This window comes from Homo sapiens, chromosome 1 (genome assembly GCF_000001405.40).
Source record: "Homo sapiens chromosome 1, GRCh38.p14 Primary Assembly".
Taxonomy (NCBI): Eukaryota; Metazoa; Chordata; class Mammalia; order Primates; family Hominidae; genus Homo; species Homo sapiens.
This window is the reverse complement of record NC_000001.11, coordinates 10,452,676-10,473,072: the sequence shown is the minus strand read 5'-3', so window position 1 is coordinate 10,473,072 and position 20,397 is coordinate 10,452,676. Positions and strand designations below refer to the sequence as shown.

The window sequence follows — 20,397 nt, the reverse complement described above, 5'->3', positions numbered from 1 at the left end:
ACTTTTCCATAGTAGCAGTATTAAAACAAAGATGAATATGTTGTCAAGAGGCATCTGAACAATCTCCAACAGTGCCGAGTCGCATTTCCCCTTTCCTCTCCGATGCATTTGAGACTTTAATGCTTACTATATTTATTTAAGCGTTTTGTTCTGAGACCCCAAACTAATTTGCACAGTTGAAGCAGGAAATAGAATGGGTGGAAACATGCGGGTGTCTGTATTAGCATTATGCATCTCATATGCGAATAGGAATGCTCTAAAAATTCAATACAGTATACATGCGTGTGCATCGTCATGCAAAATAAGTCTCTATTGGCCTTATATTTGAACGCGCGAATGCAGCTCCTAAAAGTTAAAAACAACTCCTAGGCTGAATCGCGCGATAGAACGAAAGCGGCTTTAAACCCAGAGACTACAGTTTCCGGCATGCTTCGACGCCACACGTGATTAGCGGCAACTAGAACTACATTTCCCGGCGTGCCCTGGTCTCACGTGTGATTTGCTGCGGAACGAACTACATCTCCCGGCAGGCTGCGGAAGGGGGTCGAGTAGAAGGACCGCCGCTCCGGCCTCCCGCGACTTCTCGAAGGTGGGCAGGTCCCACCTTGTGGAGGATGGAGGTGACCGGGGACGCCGGGGTACCAGAATCTGGCGAGATCCGGACTCTAAAGCCGTGTCTGCTGCGCCGCAACTACAGCCGCGAACAGCACGGCGTGGCCGCCTCCTGCCTCGAAGACCTGAGGAGCAAGGGTTGGCTCGGGACCCCGGGCGAGGGTGTGGGGGAGCCAGGGCCGGGTGAGGACGTCCGGCGGGGGCGAGGCGGGGTCAGGAGAGGCGACTTGGGGATTCTTGTATCTCGGGTGGAGGCTTGGGACAGAAACGGTCCGAGTGGGCATAGCGATTTACAGATTTAAGGCGCTTGAGCGTAATTAATCTCGTGTGAGACTCCACGGTGGTGGGAAGACAGCCAGGAAGCAATGTGCAAATTAAGCCAGACTCGGCTTAGGTCTCTTGCCTGAAATCACTTCGATGTTGGACCAAACGGACCCCACTGGGTTCCTGCCACTCCGCCACACTCAGATGGTACAAGAACCCCCAGCTGAGCCCACGGCGGTGTGGGGAGGGGTTTCCACCGTCCGCTCTGGCAGGAACCTATGCAGGAAAGAGGGAGCTGCTACTGACCATTTCTGGAGGTCCAGACAAGGAACGTGAGTTGTAAGTGACGGAGCCGACGGAAGTTCCGAGCCCGGCCCCATACCTTTACCAGCTGCTTGGCCTTGCACTTAACCAGCTCTCAACCCTCAGTTTTCTCATCAGCAAATTGGGTATAATATTTATAGCCCTGCTTCAAAGGGTTGTTGGTTCTCTCAAATAAGATGATATATTTAAGTGACTTACAAGTCTTATTAGCCAGTAGCAACAAATCGCTTACCCAAAGAAGTTTTACAGGTTACATGTGTGAGCCAGCCCCAGGCATGTAGTCACAGTGTGTGTCAGAGGGCACAGTTGCTTCCTCTCAGTCACCAACAGAAATCATATGGAAATTTTCAGAGACCCATGAACAGCCAAAGCATTATAAATGCTTTGGTAACATGGATTTTGCATATAAGCATTTATGTATTTTTTTTCCTGACATTAGATTACTTTACTTCTAATTCCCCTTCAGTGCCGTGGCTGGATGTGCGTGGCACAGAGGCTGGTGTTCTCTGCAGTCCAGCGCATACATGCCTTGCTGTTCTATTGGGTGGTAGACAACACCGCTGAAGGATATTTGTAGTCTCTTGGCTATTTCTGATCACTCCAGTCCCGTTAGTATTTGAAGCATTGCTATCACTAAATGGAATAGTACAGACCTGTCCTGGAGAAAGCCTCTCCGCCAATGATAATGATATGAAAAGCTACTGATAGAAGCTTCCACTTCTTTTATACTTTCCCATAGGTTAGAAAAGAAGCTGCTAAGGAAGATACTGTAAAGAACAAAAAGCATTTTCTTTTTTTTTTTTTTTTTTTGAGACGGAGTGTCACTCTGTCACCCAGGCTGGAGTGCAGTGGCGCTATCTCGGCTCACTGCAAGCTCCGCCTCCCGGGTTCACTCCATTCTCCTGCTTCAGCCTCCCGAGTAGCTGGGACTACAGGCGCCCACCACCACGCCCATCTAATTTTTTGTATTTTTTAGCAGAGACGGTTTTTCACCATGTTAGCCAGGATGGTCTCGATTGCCTGCTTTGTGATCCACCCGCCTCGGCCTCCCAAAGTGCTGGGATTACAGACGTGAGCCACCGTGCCTGGCCTTTTTGGTGTATTTTTTGACATTTTTACACATAGGAGAATTTAAGAGGACACCTGAGGGCCGGGTCCGGTGGCTCACACCTGTAATCCCAGCACTTTGGGAGGCCGAGGTGGGCGGATCACGAGGTCAGGAGATCGAGACCATCCTGGCTAACACGGTGAAACCCCGTCTCTACTAAAAATACAAAAAAATTAGCCGGGCGTGGTGGTGGGCGCCTGTAATCCCAGCTACTCCGGAGGCTGAAGCAGGAGAATGGCGTGAACCCGGGGGGCGGAGCTTGCAGTGAGCCCAGATAGCGCCTGGGCACTCCAGCCTGGGCGACAGAGTGAGACTCCGTCTCAAAAAAAAAAAAAAAAAAAAGAGGAAAACTGAATAAATGAATGAGAGACTGCTTGTTTGCAAGGAATCAAACTAGACTTTGATTGGTTGTTCACTCCAGTAAAAACTCAAATGCCTACCATACATGAGTGTGGAGTAGCTGGAGTAAACATACTTTCAGGAGCCAGACTTTGTGGGTTTAAATCCCAGCTTTGCCACTTACTGTGTGATCTTAGACAAGTTACTTAACCTCTCTGAGCCTTGGGTTCATCATCTATAAAACAGAACTAATAAAAGTACCTACTTTACAGGATTATTATGAGATTAAATACTGTATATGAAAAGCACTTAGGCCAGGCGCGGTTGCTCATGCCTGTAATCCTAGCACTTTGGGAGGCCGAGGCAGGTAGATCATTAAGTCGGGAGTTCCAGACCAGACTGGCCAAGATGGTGAAACCCCGTCTCTACTAAAAATACAAAAATTAGCCAGGCACGGTGGCCGGTGCCTGTAGTCCCAGCTACTCGGGAGACTAAGGCAGAGAGTTGCTTGAACCCGGGAGGCGGAGGTTGCTGTGAACCAAGATTGTACTACTGCACGCCAGCCTGTCTCAAAAAAAAAAAAAAAGAAAGAAAGAAAAGCACTTAGGGCTGAGCACAGTGGCTCATGCCTCTAATCCCAGCACTTTGGGAGGCCAAGGCGGGTGGATCATGAGGTCAGGAGTTCGAGACCAGCCTGGTCAACATGGTGAAACCACGTCTCTACTAAAAATACAAAAATTAGCCGGACATGGTGGTGCACGCCTATAATCCCAACTACTCGGGAGGCTGAGGCAGGAAAATCACTTGAACCTGGGAGGCAGAGGTTTCAGTGAGCCGAGATCGCGCCAGTGCACTGCAGCCTGGGTAACAGAGTGAGACCCTGCTACAAAAAAAAAGAAAAGAACACTTAGAACAGAATCAGGCACGTGATGAGTGTTCTGGTAGTGCTAGAAGTGATGATTGTGATTCTAGTTATTACCTACCAGGAGTTCTGCTCAGCTCTGGAGCCATACATACTTGAGATGCAGGGATAGATGTAATTTCCTTACGGTTATTTGTCATTTGCCAAATATTTTATTCTTTTCAGCCTGTGACATTCTGGCCATTGATAAGTCCCTGACACCAGTCACCCTGGTCCTGGCAGAGGATGGCACCATAGTGGATGATGACGATTACTTTCTGTGTCTACCTTCCAATACTAAGTTTGTGGCATTGGCTAGTAATGAGAAATGGGCATACAACAATTCAGGTAAGAAACTCTAGCCATGTATAAAACGGCCTATGCAGTACAGCATCCATCATGATTACTTTCACTGCACAGACAATTGCCATTTGTCTGGCTTTTTAAGCATTTGTTCAACAGATATTTACTGAGCACTTTCTATGTGCCAGACATGGTGCTGAGTCCTGGGGATAAAGATGAATGAGGCCAGGCACGGTGGGCAGATCACCTGAGCTCAGGAGTTTGAGACCAGCCTGGCCAACATGGCGAAAGTCCATCTCTACTGAAAATACAAAAACTAGCTGAGCATGGTGGCAGGCACCTGTAATCCCAGATACTTGGGAGGCTGAGGCGGGAGAATTGCTTGAACCTGGGAGGTGGAGGTTGCAGTGAGCTGAGATTGTGCCACTGCACTCCAGCCTGGGCGACAGAACGAGACTCTGTCTCAAAAAAAAAAAAAAATAGATGAATGAGACATGGGCCCAGTTCTCAACTAACTCATGGACAGACAGCAACTGAAATGCAGCCTGGCAGGGAGCTCAGTGCTGCAGGCTGCAGTCCAGCTGTTGAGGTCTGGATCCTGGCTCTACCATTTACTAACCAGGTGACCTTGTGCAAATTACATAACTTCTCAGTGCCTTGTTGACATAATAATTATAGAACCTGTCCCCTAAGATTGTTGTAAAGATAATATAGTACATATCAAACCAGGGTTTCTCAATGACACTGCTGACATTTGGGGCTGGAGTTGTGAAGAGGATGCTTTGTGTATGATAGGACGTTTAGTAGCATCCTAGATGTTACGAACCTCCCCCCACAACTGTGATAACCAAGAATAAATGACTCCAGATATTGTCAGATGTCTCCTGGGGGGCAAAATTGCTCCCACTTGAGAACCACTGATATGAAGTGTTTAGATCTTACCTGGCACATAGTTAAGGACTCAATAATTGTTACCTGTCCCTGCCATCATCATCATCACAGGAGATAGAAAGGGGACTAACATTGGTGACCAAGGATCAAGAAGTGTCTTGAGAGGGGATTAGTTTTAGGGAGGGACTTAAAAAAAAAAAAAGTGTCCTGAAGTGTGCCACAAAATTGAGGAAGTCATCCTACAGCAGTGGCCCTACCAGCCACCTTTGTGCTCAGGCCTAAGGGACAGCAATCGATGGCTACAGCTCTGCCAGTTAAAGAAGGGACCAATCCCCAAGCACAGAGAAATGCTGGCACAAATGACCGTTTTCGTATAAAAAACAGGACACACCTGGACACACAGAAACCAGAAAGGGAAGTGTGATTGGATTCCTTGTAGGTGTGACCACACATTGGGTTTAAATGGCTTTTTCTATGGAAGAATACAGAGCCGTTGCACACAGAGATAAAGATGAAAGAGGGTCAGGCACGGTGGCTTATGCCTGTAATCCCAGCACTTTGGGAGACCGAGGTGGGCAGATCACTTGAAGTCAGGAGTTTGAGACCAGCCTGGCCAACATGGTGAAAGCCCGTCTCTACTAAAAATACCAAAATTAGCTGGTCATGGTGGTGGGCACCTGTAATCCCAGCTACTTGCAAGGCTGAGGCAGGAGAATCGCTTGAACTCGGGCAGTGGAGGTTGCAGTGAGCCAAGATCGTGCCACTGCACTCCAGCCTGGGCAACAGAGTGAGACTCTGTCTCAAAAAAAAAAAAAATGAAAGAAGAGGGAAAATCAAGGTCCTGGATGGATATTGACCCTCCTGTGAATCCTTGAGATAAGATGCTTCTTTCCCATTGAAATTAATCTAGATCCTCAAGAGGTCTGTGTGTGCTGGGGGAGGAGGTGAAAACAGCACTTCAGGTTGTTCTGTGACTGGCATTTTCTCCCATGTGTCAGATGGAGGTACAGCTTGGATTTCCCAAGAGTCCTTTGATGTAGATGAAACAGACAGCGGGGCAGGGTTGAAGTGGAAGAATGTGGCCAGGCAGCTGAAAGAAGATCTGTCCAGCATCATCCTCCTATCAGAGGAGGACCTCCAGGTAAAGCCTCCTCCACAACCTGCAACAATGTTCATCCAGCCTCTGCCCCCCGCCCCAGCACCTTCTTAGCTTCCATACTTGCCATAGCAATTTCTTTGTTTTAATCTTAATTTTTAAATAATTCTTAAATTACAACTAAGATTTTTCATCTTCTCATTCTCACCTAGAGTAATTTTTCAACCCTCGTCACGAAGCAGAATTACCTGTGGATTTTTTTTTTTTTTTTTTTTTTTTTTTGAGACACAGTCTTACTCTGTCGCCCAGGCTGGAGTGCAGTGGTGCAATCTCAGCTCACTGCAGTCTCCACCTCCCGGGTTCAAGCAATTCTCCTGTCTCAGCGTCCCAGGTAGCTGGAATTACAGGTGCACACCAACACGCCTGGCTAATTTTGGTATTTTTAGTAGAGACAGCGTTTCATCATGTTGGCCAGGCTGCTCCTGAGTTCAAGTGATCCACCTGCCTCAGCCTCCCAAAGTGCTGAGATTATAGGCGTGAGCCACCGTGCCCGGCCAGATTTTTTTTTTAATACAAATGCCTGGGATCCACCCTAAACCTAGTTAGGTGGACGCTGGGGTCAGGGATGCCCTGCTAGAGAATGTAGCGTTGGAGTAGATGGCTTCACATCCCAGCGCTGTCACCACGACTTTGAGCCAGTAGCTTAGCTTCTCTCCTTGTGTTTTCTCTCTAGTAAGATTGGGATAGGCCAGGTGCAGTGGCTCACGCCTGTAATCTCAGCACTTTGGGAGGCCGAGGCGGGCAGATCACGAGGTCAGGAGATCGAGACCATCCTGGCTAACATGGTAAAACCCCATCTCTACTAAAAATACAAAAAATTAGCCGGGCCTGGTGGTGTGCACCTGTACCTGTAGTCCCAGCTACTCGGGATGCTGAGGCAGAAGAATCGCCTGAACCCAGGAGGTGGAGCTTGCAGTGAGCCGAGATCGCACCACTGCACTCCAGCCTGGGTGACAGAGAGAGACTCCATCTCAAAAAGAAAAAAAAGATTGGGATAAAAACAGTATGTTTTCATTCAAAGAAAATTTCTCTTTGAGACAGGGTCTTGCTTTGTCACCCAGTGCAGTGGCATGATCATAGCTCACTGCATCCTCGACTTCCTGGGCTCAAGCCATCCTCCCACCTCAACCTCTCAGGTAGCTGAGACTGTAGGCTTGCACCACCACACTGCGCTATTTTTTCTTTTTTTTTTTTTTTAATTTTTGTAGGCCAGGTGCAGTGGCTTATACCTGTAATCCTAGCATTTTGGGAGGCCAAGGTGAGCAGATTGCCTGAGTTCAGGAGTTTGATGTGGTAAAACCCTATCTCTACAAAAATTAGCTAGGTGTGGTGGCGTGTGCCTGTAGTTCCAGCTACTCAGGAAACTGAGGCAGAAGGATCACTTGAGCCCAGGTGGTCAAGGCTTCAGTGAGCCATGACTATACCACACCAACCTGGGCAACAAAGCAAGACCCTGTCTCAAAAATAAATAAATAAATAAATAAAGCCAGGCGTGGTGGCTCACACCTATAATCCTAGAACTTTGGGAGGCCGGGGCGGGCAGATCACGATGTCAAGAGATCAAGACCATCCTGGCAAACATGGTGAAACCCCGTCTTTACTAAAAATACAGCCGGGCACGGTGGCTTAACGCCTGTAATCCCAGCACTTTGGGAGGCTGAGGAGGGTGGATCACAAGGTCAAGAGTTCAAGACCAGCTTGGCCAAGATGGTGAAATCCCGTCTCTACTAAAAATATAAAAATTAGCCAGGCGTGGCGGCAAGCACCTGTAATCCCAGCTACTCAGGAGGCTGAGGCAGGAGAATCACTTGACCTGGGAGGGGGAGGTAGCAGTGAGCAGAGATCACGCCACTGCATTTTAGCCTGGGAGACAGAGCAAGACTCTGTCTCAAAAAACAAAAAAATTACAAAAATTAGCTGGGCGTGATGGCGTGTGCCTGTAGTCCCAGCTACTCAGGATGCTGAGGCAGGAGAATAGCTTGAACCCAGGAGGCGGAGGTTGCGGTGAGCCGAGATCACGTCATTGCACTCCAACCTGGTGACAGAGCAAGACTCAGTCTCAAAAAAAATAATTAATTAATGTTTTATAGAGAGGAGGTCTTCACAGGTTGCCTAGGCTGGTCTTGAACTCCTGGGCTCAGGCAGTCCTCCCACCCTGGCCTCCCAAAGTGCTGGGATTATTGATATGAGCCTCTGTGCTTGACCCAAAACATATTTATTGAGCCCCATCCTGTGCCTGTCATGGTTCTATGCACTGGGTGTGCAGTGGCGAACAAGCCAGACACAGTCTCTGCTCTAACGGTACTTGTATTCTGATGAAGGGAGGCAGAAAGCAACAGGAAAGCATATCAGACAGTGGTATGCAGAGAGTGATGGAGGCTACTCTAGACTGGAACACGGAGGAAGGCCTCTTTGAGGAAATGATTTCTTGGTGTTTTTTGTTTTGGTTTGGTTTGGTTTGAGACAGGGTCTAGCTCTGTCACCCAGGCTGGAGTGCAGTAGTGCAATCTCAGCTCACTGCACCATCTGCCTGCTGGGCTCAAGCGATCCTCCCACCTCAGCCTTCCAAGTAGCTGGGACCACAGGCGTACTCCACCATGCCTGGTGAATTTTTATATTTTTGGTAAAGACAGGGTTTCACCATGTTGCCCAGGCTGGTCTTAAACTCCTGAGCTCAAGCAGTCCTCCTACCTCAGCCTCCCAGAGTGCTGGGATTATAGGTGTAAGCCACTACACCCGACCCTTCTTCCCAATTTTAACACTAAAAGAAAATTAGAAAAATTGGCCGGGCACGGTGGCTCACACCTGTAATCCCAGCACTTTGGGAGGCCGAGGCGGGTGGATCACAAGATCAGGAGATCGAGACCATCCTGGCTAACACGGTGAAACCCCGTCTCTACTAAAAATACAAAAAATTAGCCAAGCGTGGTGGCAGGCACCTGTAGTACCAGCTGCTCAGGAGGCTGAGGCAGGAGAATGGCGTGAACCCAGGAGGCGGAGCTTGCAGTGAGCCGAGATCGTGCCACTGCACTCCAGCCTGGGTGACAGAGCGAGACTCTGTCTCAAAAAAAAAAAAAATTAGAAAAATTACATGCTTTTCTCTTGACTGTCTGCCAACTATCATAGTAGGTAACTTTGGGAAATGGATGCATTGAGTTCTGAAATGGATGTATTTGAGAGGTAGAACACCGTGTTTAGAAAGTCCTTGTAGGCCGGGCGCAGTAGCTCACACCTGTAATCCCAGCACTTTGGGAGGCCAAGGCGGGTGGATCACCTGAGGTCAGGAGTTCAAGACCAGCCTGGCCAACATGACAAAACCCCGTCTCTACTAAAAATACAAAAATTAGCTGGGCTTGGTAGCACATGCCTGTAATCCCAGCTACTAGGGAGGCTGAGGCAGGAAAATTGCTTGAACCCAGGAGGCGGAGGTTGCAGTGAGCCGAGATCACACCATCGCACTCCAGCCTGGGCAACAGAGCAGACTCCGTCTCAAAAAAAAAAAAGAAAGTCAGAAAGTCCCTGTAGATTTCTAAGCGTCTGTGTTTGTTTGTTAGATGCTTGTTGACGCTCCCTGCTCAGACCTGGCTCAGGAACTACGTCAGAGTTGTGCCACCGTCCAGCGGCTGCAGCACACACTCCAACAGGTGCTTGACCAAAGAGAGGAAGTGCGTCAGTCCAAGCAGCTCCTGCAGCTGTACCTCCAGGCTTTGGAGAAAGAGGGCAGCCTCTTGTCAAAGCAGGAAGGTAGGACTCTCTGCAGGCAGAGTCACTCTGAGAATTCAGGGCTGATGGAGGCGTCCCTTGGGAGGACACTATTTGTGATGTAGCCAGGGCCACTGAAGCCGCGGCTGCTGGGATGCGGGACGGGCACGTTTCTCTCTTGCCCGGCCAGTTATTCTGGCGAGTTGTTCATGTGGCTGTGTGGTCACACCACGTCTGATCTCTGTCTCGTGTCTCCTTTGCAGAGTCCAAAGCTGCCTTTGGTGAGGAGGTGGATGCAGTAGACACGGGTATCAGCAGAGAGACCTCCTCGGACGTTGCGCTGGCGAGCCACATCCTTACTGCACTGAGGGAGAAGCAGGCTCCAGAGCTGAGCTTATCTAGTCAGGATTTGGAGGTGGGCGGAAACCAGGGTCACTGAGCTACAGAGGAGGACATGCCCTGGGATGTAGTAGTATCATGCAGAGGTGTGTGGGCCCTTTTGTTCACCTCTGCAGACTGTGAATCCTAGCTGCCAGTTTGCCTATTATATGCCAAGGCATTTGCAAAAATCTCATTAATCTAAATCAAAATAGCTTTAAAGAAAAATGCATACACTTCCTCAGATCATCAAACAGACTCTGGTCCAAGGTTGGTAATGAAATGACTGTTCCTGACAGGGAGGAATAGCAGGGCCCAATCTTCTGAGATGGCTTCTGGGTCTTTCCATGGTCAGAGAAGATCTATAGTCCGTCCTGAGGTCTGTCAATGTCACAGGAAAAGGCAAACTTGAGGGGATCGTCGCCTGCTGGCTAAGACCAGGGAGCTAAAAACTTGAGGAAGGGAACCTGCCTGGGTGGGTGCTACTTCTGATTCATTGTCCTTGTCCCTGTCATAAGTACCTCCCTATTGTAGATAGAAGGGAAGGAAACTGTTGACTTGAGCTTGGCTAAATTTCCTGAAGGTGGAGGACCTTAGAGTTGCTCCAAGTAAACTTTCCAAGGACTTCTTCCTGTTGGTGTTGTAAGAAAAGGCCCATGCTTGTCCGGGCACAGTGGCTTACGCCTGTTAATGCCAGTACTTTGGGAGGCCGAGGCAGGTGGATCACCTGAGGTCAGGAGTTCGAGACCAGCCTGACCAACATGGCGAAACCCCATCTCTACTAAAAATACAAAAATTAGCCTGGCATGGTGGTGGGAGGCTGAAGCAAGAGAATCACTTGAACCCAGGAGGTGGAGGTTGCGTGAGCTAAGATCGCGCCACTGCACTCCAGCCTGGGCGACAAGAGTGAAACTCCGTCTTAAAAAAGCCCATGGCAGGCTGGGCGCGGTGGCTCACGCCTGTAATCCCAGCACTTTGGGAGGCCAAGGTGGGCGGATCACAAGGTCAGGAGATCGAGACCATCCTGGCGAACACGGTGAAACCCCGTCTCTACTAAAAAAAATACAAAAAAATTAGCCAGGCGTGGTCGTGGGCACCTGTAGTCCCAGCTACTCAGGGGGCTGAGGCAGGAGAATGGCGTGAATCCGGGAGGCGGAGCTTGCAGGGAGCCGAGATAGTGTCACTGCACTCCAGCCTGGGTGACAGAGCGAGACTCCGTCTCAAAAAACAAAAAGCCCGTGGCAATTAATGGTAAAGGAAACCCGGCATTTCAGTGTAAAGAGGTAACATAAACGGATACTGCCTCATTGCACTCCCCAAAAGAGAGTCAGGAGAGCAGCAGGAGAGGCGCACAGAAGGCCCAGTTCTCAGGGGTTTTTATTCTTGCTGCAGTTGGTTACCAAGGAAGACCCCAAAGCACTGGCTGTTGCCTTGAACTGGGACATAAAGAAGACGGAGACTGTTCAGGAGGCCTGTGAGCGGGAGCTCGCCCTGCGCCTGCAGCAGACGCAGAGCTTGCATTCTCTCCGGAGCATCTCAGCAAGCAAGGCCTCACCACCTGGTGACCTGCAGAATCCTAAGCGAGCCAGACAGGATCCCACATAGCAGCAGCGGGAAGTGTGCCAAGGAAGCTCTGTGGCGTTGTGTTATTGGTAGACACCCTCAGCCTCATCATTTGACTACCTATGTACTACTCTACCCCCTGCCTTAGAGCACCTTCCAGAGAAGCTATTCCAGGTCTCAACATACGCCGTTCCACCAATTTTTTTTTTAGCCCCACCAGCTTCAGGACTTCTGCCAATTTTGAATGATATAGCTGCACCAACAATATCCCGCCTCCTCTAATTACATATGATGTTCTCTGTTCAAAAGTAATTGGCAGTGATTGGCCAGGCGCAGTGGCTCACGCCTGTAATCCCAGCACTGGGAGGCCGAGGGGGGCGGATCGTGAAGTCAGGAGATCGAGACCATCCTGGCTAACATGGTGAAACCCTGTCTCTACTAAAAATACAAAAAAAATTAGCCAGCCATGGTGGCGGGCGCCTGTAATCCCAGCTACTTGGGAGGCTGAGGCAGGAGAATGGCATGAACCTGGGAGGCAGAGCTTGCAGTGAGCTGAGATTGCGCCACTGCACTCCAGCCTGGGCAACAGAGCGAGACTCCGTCTCAAAAAAAAAAAAAAAAAAAGTAATTGGCAGTGACTATGGGCGCACTGCCTAACATTTAGCCCTGCCCCATATGGAACATGTTAAAAAAAAAAAAAGCCAGGCCGAGCGTGTTGGCTCACGCTTGTAATCCCAGCACTTTGGGAGGCCGAGGCGGGTGGATCACGAGGTCAGGAGATCGAGACCATCCTGGCTAACACAGTGAAACGTGTTTTTACTAAAAGTACAAAAAACTAGCTGGGCGTGGTGGCAGGAGCCTGTAGTCCCAGCTACTCGGGAGGCTGAGGCAGGAGAATTGCTTGAACCGGGGAGGCAGAAGTTGCAGTGAGCCGAGATTATGCCACTGTACTCCAGCCTGGGTGACAGAGTGACACTCTGTCTCAAAAAAAAAAAAAAAAAGGACAGGCACGACAGTGGCTCACACCTTTGATCCCAGCACTTTGGAGGCCGATGCAGGCGGATCACATGAGGTCAGGAGTTCAAGACCAACCTGGCCAATATGGTGAAACCCCGTCTCTACTAAAAATACAAAAATTAGCTGGGCATGATGGCGGGTGCCTGTAATCCCAGCTACTCGGTAGGCAGAGGTTGCAGTGAGCTGAGAGCGCACCACTGCACTCCAGCCTGGGTGACAGAGCTAGACTCCGTATCTCAAGAAAAAAAAAAAGTTTTGTTTTGTTTTTTTGAGACAGAGTCTCACTCTGTCACCTAGTCTGGAGTGCAGTGGCACATTCTCGGCTCACTGCAACCCCCACCTCCCAGGTTCAAGCGATTCTCCTGTTTCAGCCTCCTGAGCAGCTGGGATTACAGGCACGTGCCACCATGCCCGGCTAATTTTTGTATTTTTAGTAGAGACAGGGTTTTGTCACATTGGCCAGGCTGGTCTCAAACTCCTGACCTCAGGTGATCCACCCACCTCAGCCTCCCAAAGTGCTGGGATTACAGGTGTGAGCCACCACCCCTGGCCAGAAAAAAAAGCTTTTAAATAAAGTAATTGTCAGCTTAGGCAACATAGCAAGACCCTGTCTCTACAAAAAAAAAATTTAAGTTAGCCAGGCATGGTGGCACTGACCTATAATCCTAGCTACTCTGGAGGCTAAGGCGAGAGTATCACTTGAGCCCAGGAGCTCAAGGCTGATCATGCCACCATACTCCAGCCTGGATGATAGAGTAAGACCCTACTTTTTTTTTTTTTTTTTTAAAAAGGTAACCATCAAGGGCAATGAAAAGAAATGGTCGTATTTCCAATTCATTATCCTTATTCTGAAGATAGTACGGCAGAATTTTAAGCAGAGATAGTGGTGAAGATGGTGACATTATAGAGTGTTGACTATGGCCACAATCTTGTTTCTCCAGTTAATGAATTTTTTTATGTGTTTGTTTAAAGATACATATTAAGCTTGTAGACCATAGGGACATACGGAGAGTCCATTGCTAATATCTCACTCAGTATTGTGAAATTCTATCTCACCACCGTGAAACTCTTCAGTTTTCTAATTGCTTTATCAGCAGGGGGTATAAAAGGTCATGAAAGCAATTTCCACATGCTGTGGCTCCAGGTCTCTGGGTGTGAAGCAGAGCAAGCCTGGTTTGTCCTCCTCCTGTCTCCACACAGACGGCTTCTGCAGGTTTGGTAATCTACAGTACACTCCTTGCAGGGAAAAGGTGATGAGTCATCATGGACTTATTTGACCACTTTTTATGCATGCTTAGAGGAAAACAGAATACTGTTAAGAGATTCATCTGCTAGTTATTAAGTAAAGAAATATCACAATAGGCCGGGCGCAGTGGCTCACACCTGTAATCCCAGCATTTTGGGAGGCCAAGGTGGGCGGATCACCTGAGGTCAGGAGTTCGAGACCAGCCTAGCCAACATGGTGAAACCCCGTCTCTACTGAAATTATAAAAAATTAGCCGGGTGTAGTGGTACACGCCTGTAGTCCCAGTTACTTGGGAGGCTGAGGCATGAGAATTGCTTGAACCCAGGAAGTGGAGGTGGAGGTGAGCCGAAATTGTGCCACTGTACTCCAGCCTGCAACAGAGTGAGACACTGTCACACAAAAAAGAAAGAAATATCACAATATGTCACAATAGGCCGGGCGCAGTGGCTCACACCTGCAGTCCCAGCACTTTGGGAGGCCAAGGCAGATGGATCACCTGAGGTCAGGAGTTTGAGACCAGCCTGGCCAACGTGACAAAACCCAGTCTACTAAAAATACAAAAATTAGCCAGGCGTGATGGTGGGCACCTGTAATCCCAGCTACTCAGGAGGCTGAGACATGAGAATCGCTTGAACCCAGGAGGTGGAGATTGCACTGAGCTGAGATCCTGCCACTGGGCTCCAGCCTGGGTGACAGAATGAGACTCTGTCTTTAAAAAAAAAAAAAAAAGAAAATCACAATAAGTCCTAGGGTAAAGATGGGGGTACAGAAAACAATTAAATAGAACAAAAACAACTGTTTCCTTTTCCTGTGATTCAAGAAGGGCTTAGATCTTCTACTCAGCATCCTTTTACTAATGCCCTCCATTGGCTCTCACCCCAACATTTCCTTTTTTATAGCTTATTTTGTAATGCCTCCTTAATTATCCTTTAATAGAAGCCACCGCTGATAAGCTACCTACACTCATACAGAAGCATTAATATAATGCCCCAGATGTACTGTTTCAGGGCAAAAAGGAAAATAATTTCCAACAAAGTGGTGTGTGTTTCACTGTCAGATGCTTGCACTTACACACGGAATCGCTGTGCATCCGACAGAGGCTGATTGGCACATGGGGCACGGGGATTGTCAGCTCAAACACCGTCAGCAGCGTTGCCCTTGGAAATGGGATTTCCCAGAACAGTAAACGTGTCTGTCCTTGATTTACAGAGTAGCTACATTCCTAGGAAATCCAGGGTACATTAAAACTCACCATGTTACCCAGGCTGGTCTCAAACTCCAGGCCTCAAGCAATCCTCCCACATCAGCTTCCCAGAATTTTGGGATTACAGGCATGAGCCACCACACCCAGCCAGAATATTTTATTTCTGTTAGACACACAGAGCGTTCGTTGACTCGTCTGGGCGTTAGTGTTAATATTCTGTACTTGAAGCAAGCCCACCAAGCGGCTGAACTGGGTGGATAATGGAAAATGTCCTGTGGATTTGGGAGTGAGACAAACCGGCTTGAGTCTAACCTCTCAGTTAGTCTAAGGCTCCAAGCTTGAAAGGGTTAAATGAAGTACTATATTTGTTTTGTTTCGTTTTCGTTTTGTTTGAGGCTTTGCTCTGTTGCCCAGGCTGGAGTGTAGTGGCACAATCTCTGCTCACTGCAACCTCCATCTCCCAGGTTCAGGCGATTCTCTTGCCTCAGCCTCCAGAGTAGCTGGGATTACAGGTGCCCGCCACCACACCCGGCTAAGTTTTTTTTGGTATTTTTAGTAGACACAGGGTTTCACCATGTTGGCTAGACTGGTCTCAAACTCCTGACCTCAAGTGATCCACCTGCCTTGGCCTCCCAAAGTGCTGGGAGTATAGGTGGTGAGCCACCACGCCTGGCCTAAATGAAGTACCACATGACCGACAGACCGACCTGGGGAACATAGCAAGACCCCATCTCTACAAAAATGTAAAAAATAAAAATTAGCCGGGTGTAGTGGTACATGCCTGTAATCCTAGATACTCGGGAGGCTAAGGCAGAAGGATCACTTGAGCCCAGGAGTTCGAGGCTACAATGAGCTGTGATCGTGCCACTGCACTCCATCCTGGGTGGCAGAGTGAGGCCCTGTCTCAAAATAAATAATCCAGTCCCCCCCAAGAAAGGAATGAAGTGCTATAATGAGAAAAATCCTAGTACCTAACATATAGTAGACAGTGGAGAGTGGTTCTCTTTCGTTTCTCAGGGGCAGACAGATGGGGTGCTGGAGTCCTCTATCAAAGAGTCAGAGCTCTATCCCAGATGTGTAATGAACGTGGTCACAGACATATTGTCCCATTACCATTTACCTTCCCTATAACCACTGTGCCTCCAGCCTTGTAGAATAGACACATAGGAGCGCAGCAATACGTCTAAAAATAGGAGTGAGAGAGGGCAGGGCATGCCCGTTCTTGTGGTAGAAGAAAAGAATGTCAAAGAAAGCAGCTGGGACTAATGAACTTTACATTAGCCATATTCCATTATTTCAGCTTAAGTCAAATGTCGGTCCTCATGAGGCAACTGGCTTTGACAGGAGCTACGCTAATTACCACTTACCAACCTTTAATTTCTGGGTAAAAGCAAAAGAGAAAAACTAATGGATTTTTCATTTTCCAGAGAGACAAGAATAAAATAATAGTAGTCTGTAGAAAAAAGAAAACCTGCATCAATTACAAGAATTATTAATGTATCTTTAATAAATAACCACATTATTTAGCTGTTTAATTTCCTAATTACCTGTTCAAGCTTTTTTTTTTTTTTTTTTTTTTTCTTTTTCACCTTGAGGGTTTTTGTCCATCTTGTTTGTGGGGTTTTGCCTTAAATCATTTTGGCTGCATCTTATACACCTTGTGGTTTTTAAGGACCTTGGACATGATCTAGTCTGAACCCCCATCCACCGCCTGAGTCCTCCCAATAGGTCTGACAGTGAGGGTCTCCATTCTGTTTGAGAGCCTCCAGCCAGGGGGACAGACGCCCTCCCCAGGAGCTGCACTGCATTTACAGGTTGCAGAACCTTAGAGTTGACAACTTGCTCAAATGATATCAGACAACACTCGTGCAATCACAAGGCTGCAAGGAAATGAGCCCACAGATTAATGCATAGATAGCGGATTTTCTTCACTCTTTTTCTTTTCTTTTTTTAAGACAATCTCGCTCTGTCACCCAGGCTGGAGTTCAGTGGCTCTATCTCAGCTCACTGTAACCTCCACCTCCCAGGTTCAAGGGATTCTCCTGCCTCAACCTCCCAAATAGCTGGGATTACAGGGGCGTGCCACCACCCCCAGCTAATTTTTGTATTTTTAGTAGGGATGGGGTTTCTCCATGTTGGCCAGGCTGGTCTCAAACTTCTGACCTCATGTGATCCACCGTCCTCAGCCTCCCAAAGTGCTGGGATTACAGGCATGAGCCACCACACCTGGCTGTATTTTTCAGTATCATGTTATAAGAACTATCACCCCCAGGCTGGGCGCAGTGGCTCACGCCTGTAATCCCAGCACTTTGGGAGGCCGAGACGGGCGGATCACGGGGTCAAGAGATCGAGGCCATCCTGGATAAAATGGTGAAACCCCATCTCTACTAAAAATACAAAAAAATTATCCGGGCGTGGTGGCAGGCGCCTGTAGTCCCATACTCGGGAGGCTGAGGCAGGAGAATGGCCTGAACCCGGGAGGCGGAGCTTGCAGTGAGCTGAGATTGCACCACTGCACTCCAGCCTGGGCGACAAGCGAGACTCCGTCTCAAAAAAAAAAAAAAAAAAAAGAACTATCACCCCCAAAATTCTAGCTTTTCCTCCAGACTGATTATTTTAATAAGACAAATACTTTTTTAAATTACAAATGCAAAATGGGAAAGAGAAATTACTATTTTTACTAGCATTATAAGAAGTTACAAAAGCCAGGCGCGGTGGTTCACGCCTGTAATCCCAGCACATTGGGAGGCCGAGGCAGGGAGATCACCTGAGGTCAGGAGTTCGAGACCAGCCTGACCAACATGGAGAAACCCCCTGTCTCTACTAAAAAAAATAAAAAATTTGCCGGGCGTGATAGTACATGCCTGTAATCCCAGCTACTCGGGAGGCTGAGGCAGGAGAATCTCGCTTGAACCTGGGAGGCGGAGGTTGCAGTGAGCTGAGATCACGCCATTGCACTCCAGCCTGGGCAACAAGAGCAAAACTCCGTCTCAAAAAAAAAAAAAAAAAAAAGAAGTTACAAATAGCCCAGGGGTGGTACCACAGTGGCTCATGCCTGTAGCCGTACTCCCAGCTACTCAGGAGGCTAAGGCAGGAGAATTGCTTGAACCCGGGAGGTGGAGGTTGCAGTGAGTCGAGATCGCCATTGCACTCCAGCCTAGGCAACAAGAGCGAAACGCCCTCTCAAAAAAAAAAAAAAAAAAAAAAAGTGTGTGGCATCCCCCTACTCAGGCCAAGTCTCTCTCTTGCTCTTGCTCTCACTGTGTGATACACTGGGTCCTACTTGGCTTTCTGTAATGATTGGAAGCTTCCTGAGGCCTCACCAGAAACTGAGCAGATGCCTGGTGCCATGATTTTTTTTTTTTTTTTTTTTTTAAGTAGAGATGGGGTTTCACCGTTTTGGTCAGGCTGGTCTGGAAATCCTGACCTTGTGATCCGCCTGCTTCGGCCTCCCAAAGTGTTGGGATTACAGGCGTGAGCCACCGCACCTGGCCAGGTATTTCTTTATAGCAGCACAAGAACGGCCTAAAACATTCCAAATGAAACCTCTCTCTCTATGGAAAACGCTACTGTTTTTAAGATGGGCTGCCCCTGGCCAGGCGCGGTGGTTCATACCTGTAATCCCAGCACTTTGGGAGGCTGAGGTGGGTGGATCACAAGGTCAGGAGATCGAGACCATCCTGGCTAACACGGTGAAACCCCATCTCTACAAAAAAATAGAAAAAATTAGCTGGGTGTGGTGGCGGGTGCCTGTAGTCCCAGCTACTCGGGAGGCTGAGACAGAAGAATGACCTGAGCCCGGGAGGTGGAGCTTACAGTGAGCCAAGATCACTTCACTGCACTCCAGCCTGGGTGGCAGAGGGAGACTCTGTCTCAAAAAAAAAAAAAAAAAAAAAAAGACGGGCTGCCCTTCAACAGGTGCTGCTTACATCAAGGTAAGTATCTCCCCTGAGCTTCCCAGTCTGAGGAGTTTCCTAAAGCCTGGAATCCTTTGCTGCCAGCCCTGAAATAGGAAAGCTGTGAGTGTCTGTTGTCCTTCATTCCTCCTCAGCAGTTAGGGAGCTGTTCTGGTGCCAAATCCTGGACAAAATAACAAGAGCATGAACTTGAAGTTGCCCAGGGCCTGATTACCCAGATCTACACACCTGACTCTACTGAACTACAGAAAAGGCCACCAAAAACCAGATGGTGGGAAATGACCATTTTACCCTGATTTATTAATCACAAGCATATTCATCTGGTCTAACATGCAGCTGATGCCAGTTAATGTCGTATGAAGTCCCCTGAACTAAGGTAGGCTTAGACTTGAATTTCCTGGCAGTAGCACTAGTAGAGCCTCATTATCCTACAGATAACTACTTAGTTAAAAGGTAAAATCCCCAATCTTAAAGTCTGTGTGGATGACCCCAATGTATTTTATTTTTTGAGACGGAGTCTCACTCTGTCGCCCAGGCTGGAGTGCAGTGGCACAATCTTGGCTCACTGCAATCTCTGCCTCCCGGGTTAAGGTGATTCTCCTGCCTCAGCCTCCTGAGTAGCTGGGATTACAGGTATGTGCCACCAAGCCCGGCTAATTTTTGGTGTTTTTAGTAGAGACAGGGTTTCACCACGTTGATCAGGCTGGTCTTGAACACCCGACCTCAGGTGATCCACCCAGCTCGGCCTCCCAAGGTGCTGGGATTACAGGTGTGAGCCACCACGCCCAGCCCCTATTTTATCTTATTTTACTATTATTTTTGAGACAGAGTCTCGTTCTGTCACCCAGGCTGGAGTACAGTGGCATGACCTCGGCTCACTACAACTTCCGCCTCCCAGGCTCAAGTGATTCTCGTGCCTCAGCCTCCCAAGTAGCTGGGATTACAGGGGTGCACCATCACGCCTGGGTAATTTTTGTATTTTTAGTCGAGACAGGGTTTCATCATGTTGGCCAGGCTGGTCTCGAACTCCTGGCCTCAAGTGATCTGCCTGCCTCAACCTCCCACAGTGCTGGGATTACAGGCATGAGCCACCGCGCCCTGCCGACCCCAATTTAAAAACTGAAAAACAATAAGCATGGCTTCTTTCTAGAAAAAATCTTTAAAAAAAACAAAGTTCTGGAAGGTTAGCTGGCCTTTCAGGCAGGCATCTTCCACCAGTGCACTGACCCAATTCCTGGTCTCCTAAAGCTGCTGTGTTTGGAAACGTGGATGCTATTAAGTCTCTTCCATCACATTATACTTTATTCAGCTAGTAATTATGAATATGAGCTCAGCTCGGCAGAAAACAACGGACGGTCAGCAGCCATTCTCAGGGAGTCCGCTCCCCTGGTGTCCAGAGAAGAGAATATTCCCGTGTCCTCCAGCCAGCCTTTGCTGGTTTTCCCAATGAAGTTTAGCATCGAAAAACCTTC

The 20,397-nt window shown here is 48.4% G+C and overlaps 1 protein-coding gene across 2 annotated transcripts, besides 1 other annotated feature; it reads left to right on the top strand.

Annotated features, from left to right (window-relative positions):
* Positions 544 to 16,551, top strand: DFFA (DNA fragmentation factor subunit alpha). 2 transcript variants are annotated; one of them, NM_004401.3, is made up of 6 exons: positions 544 to 750; positions 3,735 to 3,896; positions 5,741 to 5,883; positions 9,453 to 9,642; positions 9,864 to 10,015; positions 11,371 to 16,551. In NM_004401.3, exons 1-6 carry the CDS (start codon positions 615 to 617, stop codon positions 11,581 to 11,583), a joined length of 996 nt encoding a protein of 331 aa, NP_004392.1. In that variant the 5' UTR covers positions 544 to 614; the 3' UTR covers positions 11,584 to 16,551. The 2 variants fall into 2 exon arrangements, with proteins under 2 accessions (NP_004392.1, NP_998731.1); NM_213566.2 differs by having other exon boundaries at positions 9,864 to 12,542.
* Positions 976 to 1,075: an enhancer, noted in NCBI's record as "active region_149". NCBI's record gives its function as "activates an Ori minimal core promoter by ATAC-STARR-seq in GM12878 lymphoblastoid cells {active_cell/tissue: GM12878}" and the evidence as "EXISTENCE:reporter gene assay evidence [ECO:0000049][PMID:35858748]".

Bases quoted from the DNA above. Each gene is read 5' to 3' on its own strand.
- DFFA (NM_004401.3), top strand. From the start codon at position 615: ATGGAGGTGACCGGGGACGCCGGGGTACCAGAATCTGGCGAGATCCGG. The intron at 751-3,734 runs GTTGGCTCGGGA...TATTCTTTTCAG, and splicing joins CGAAGACCTGAGGAGCAAGG to CCTGTGACATTCTGGCCATT. The intron at 3,897-5,740 runs GTAAGAAACTCT...CCCATGTGTCAG, and splicing joins ATGGGCATACAACAATTCAG to ATGGAGGTACAGCTTGGATT.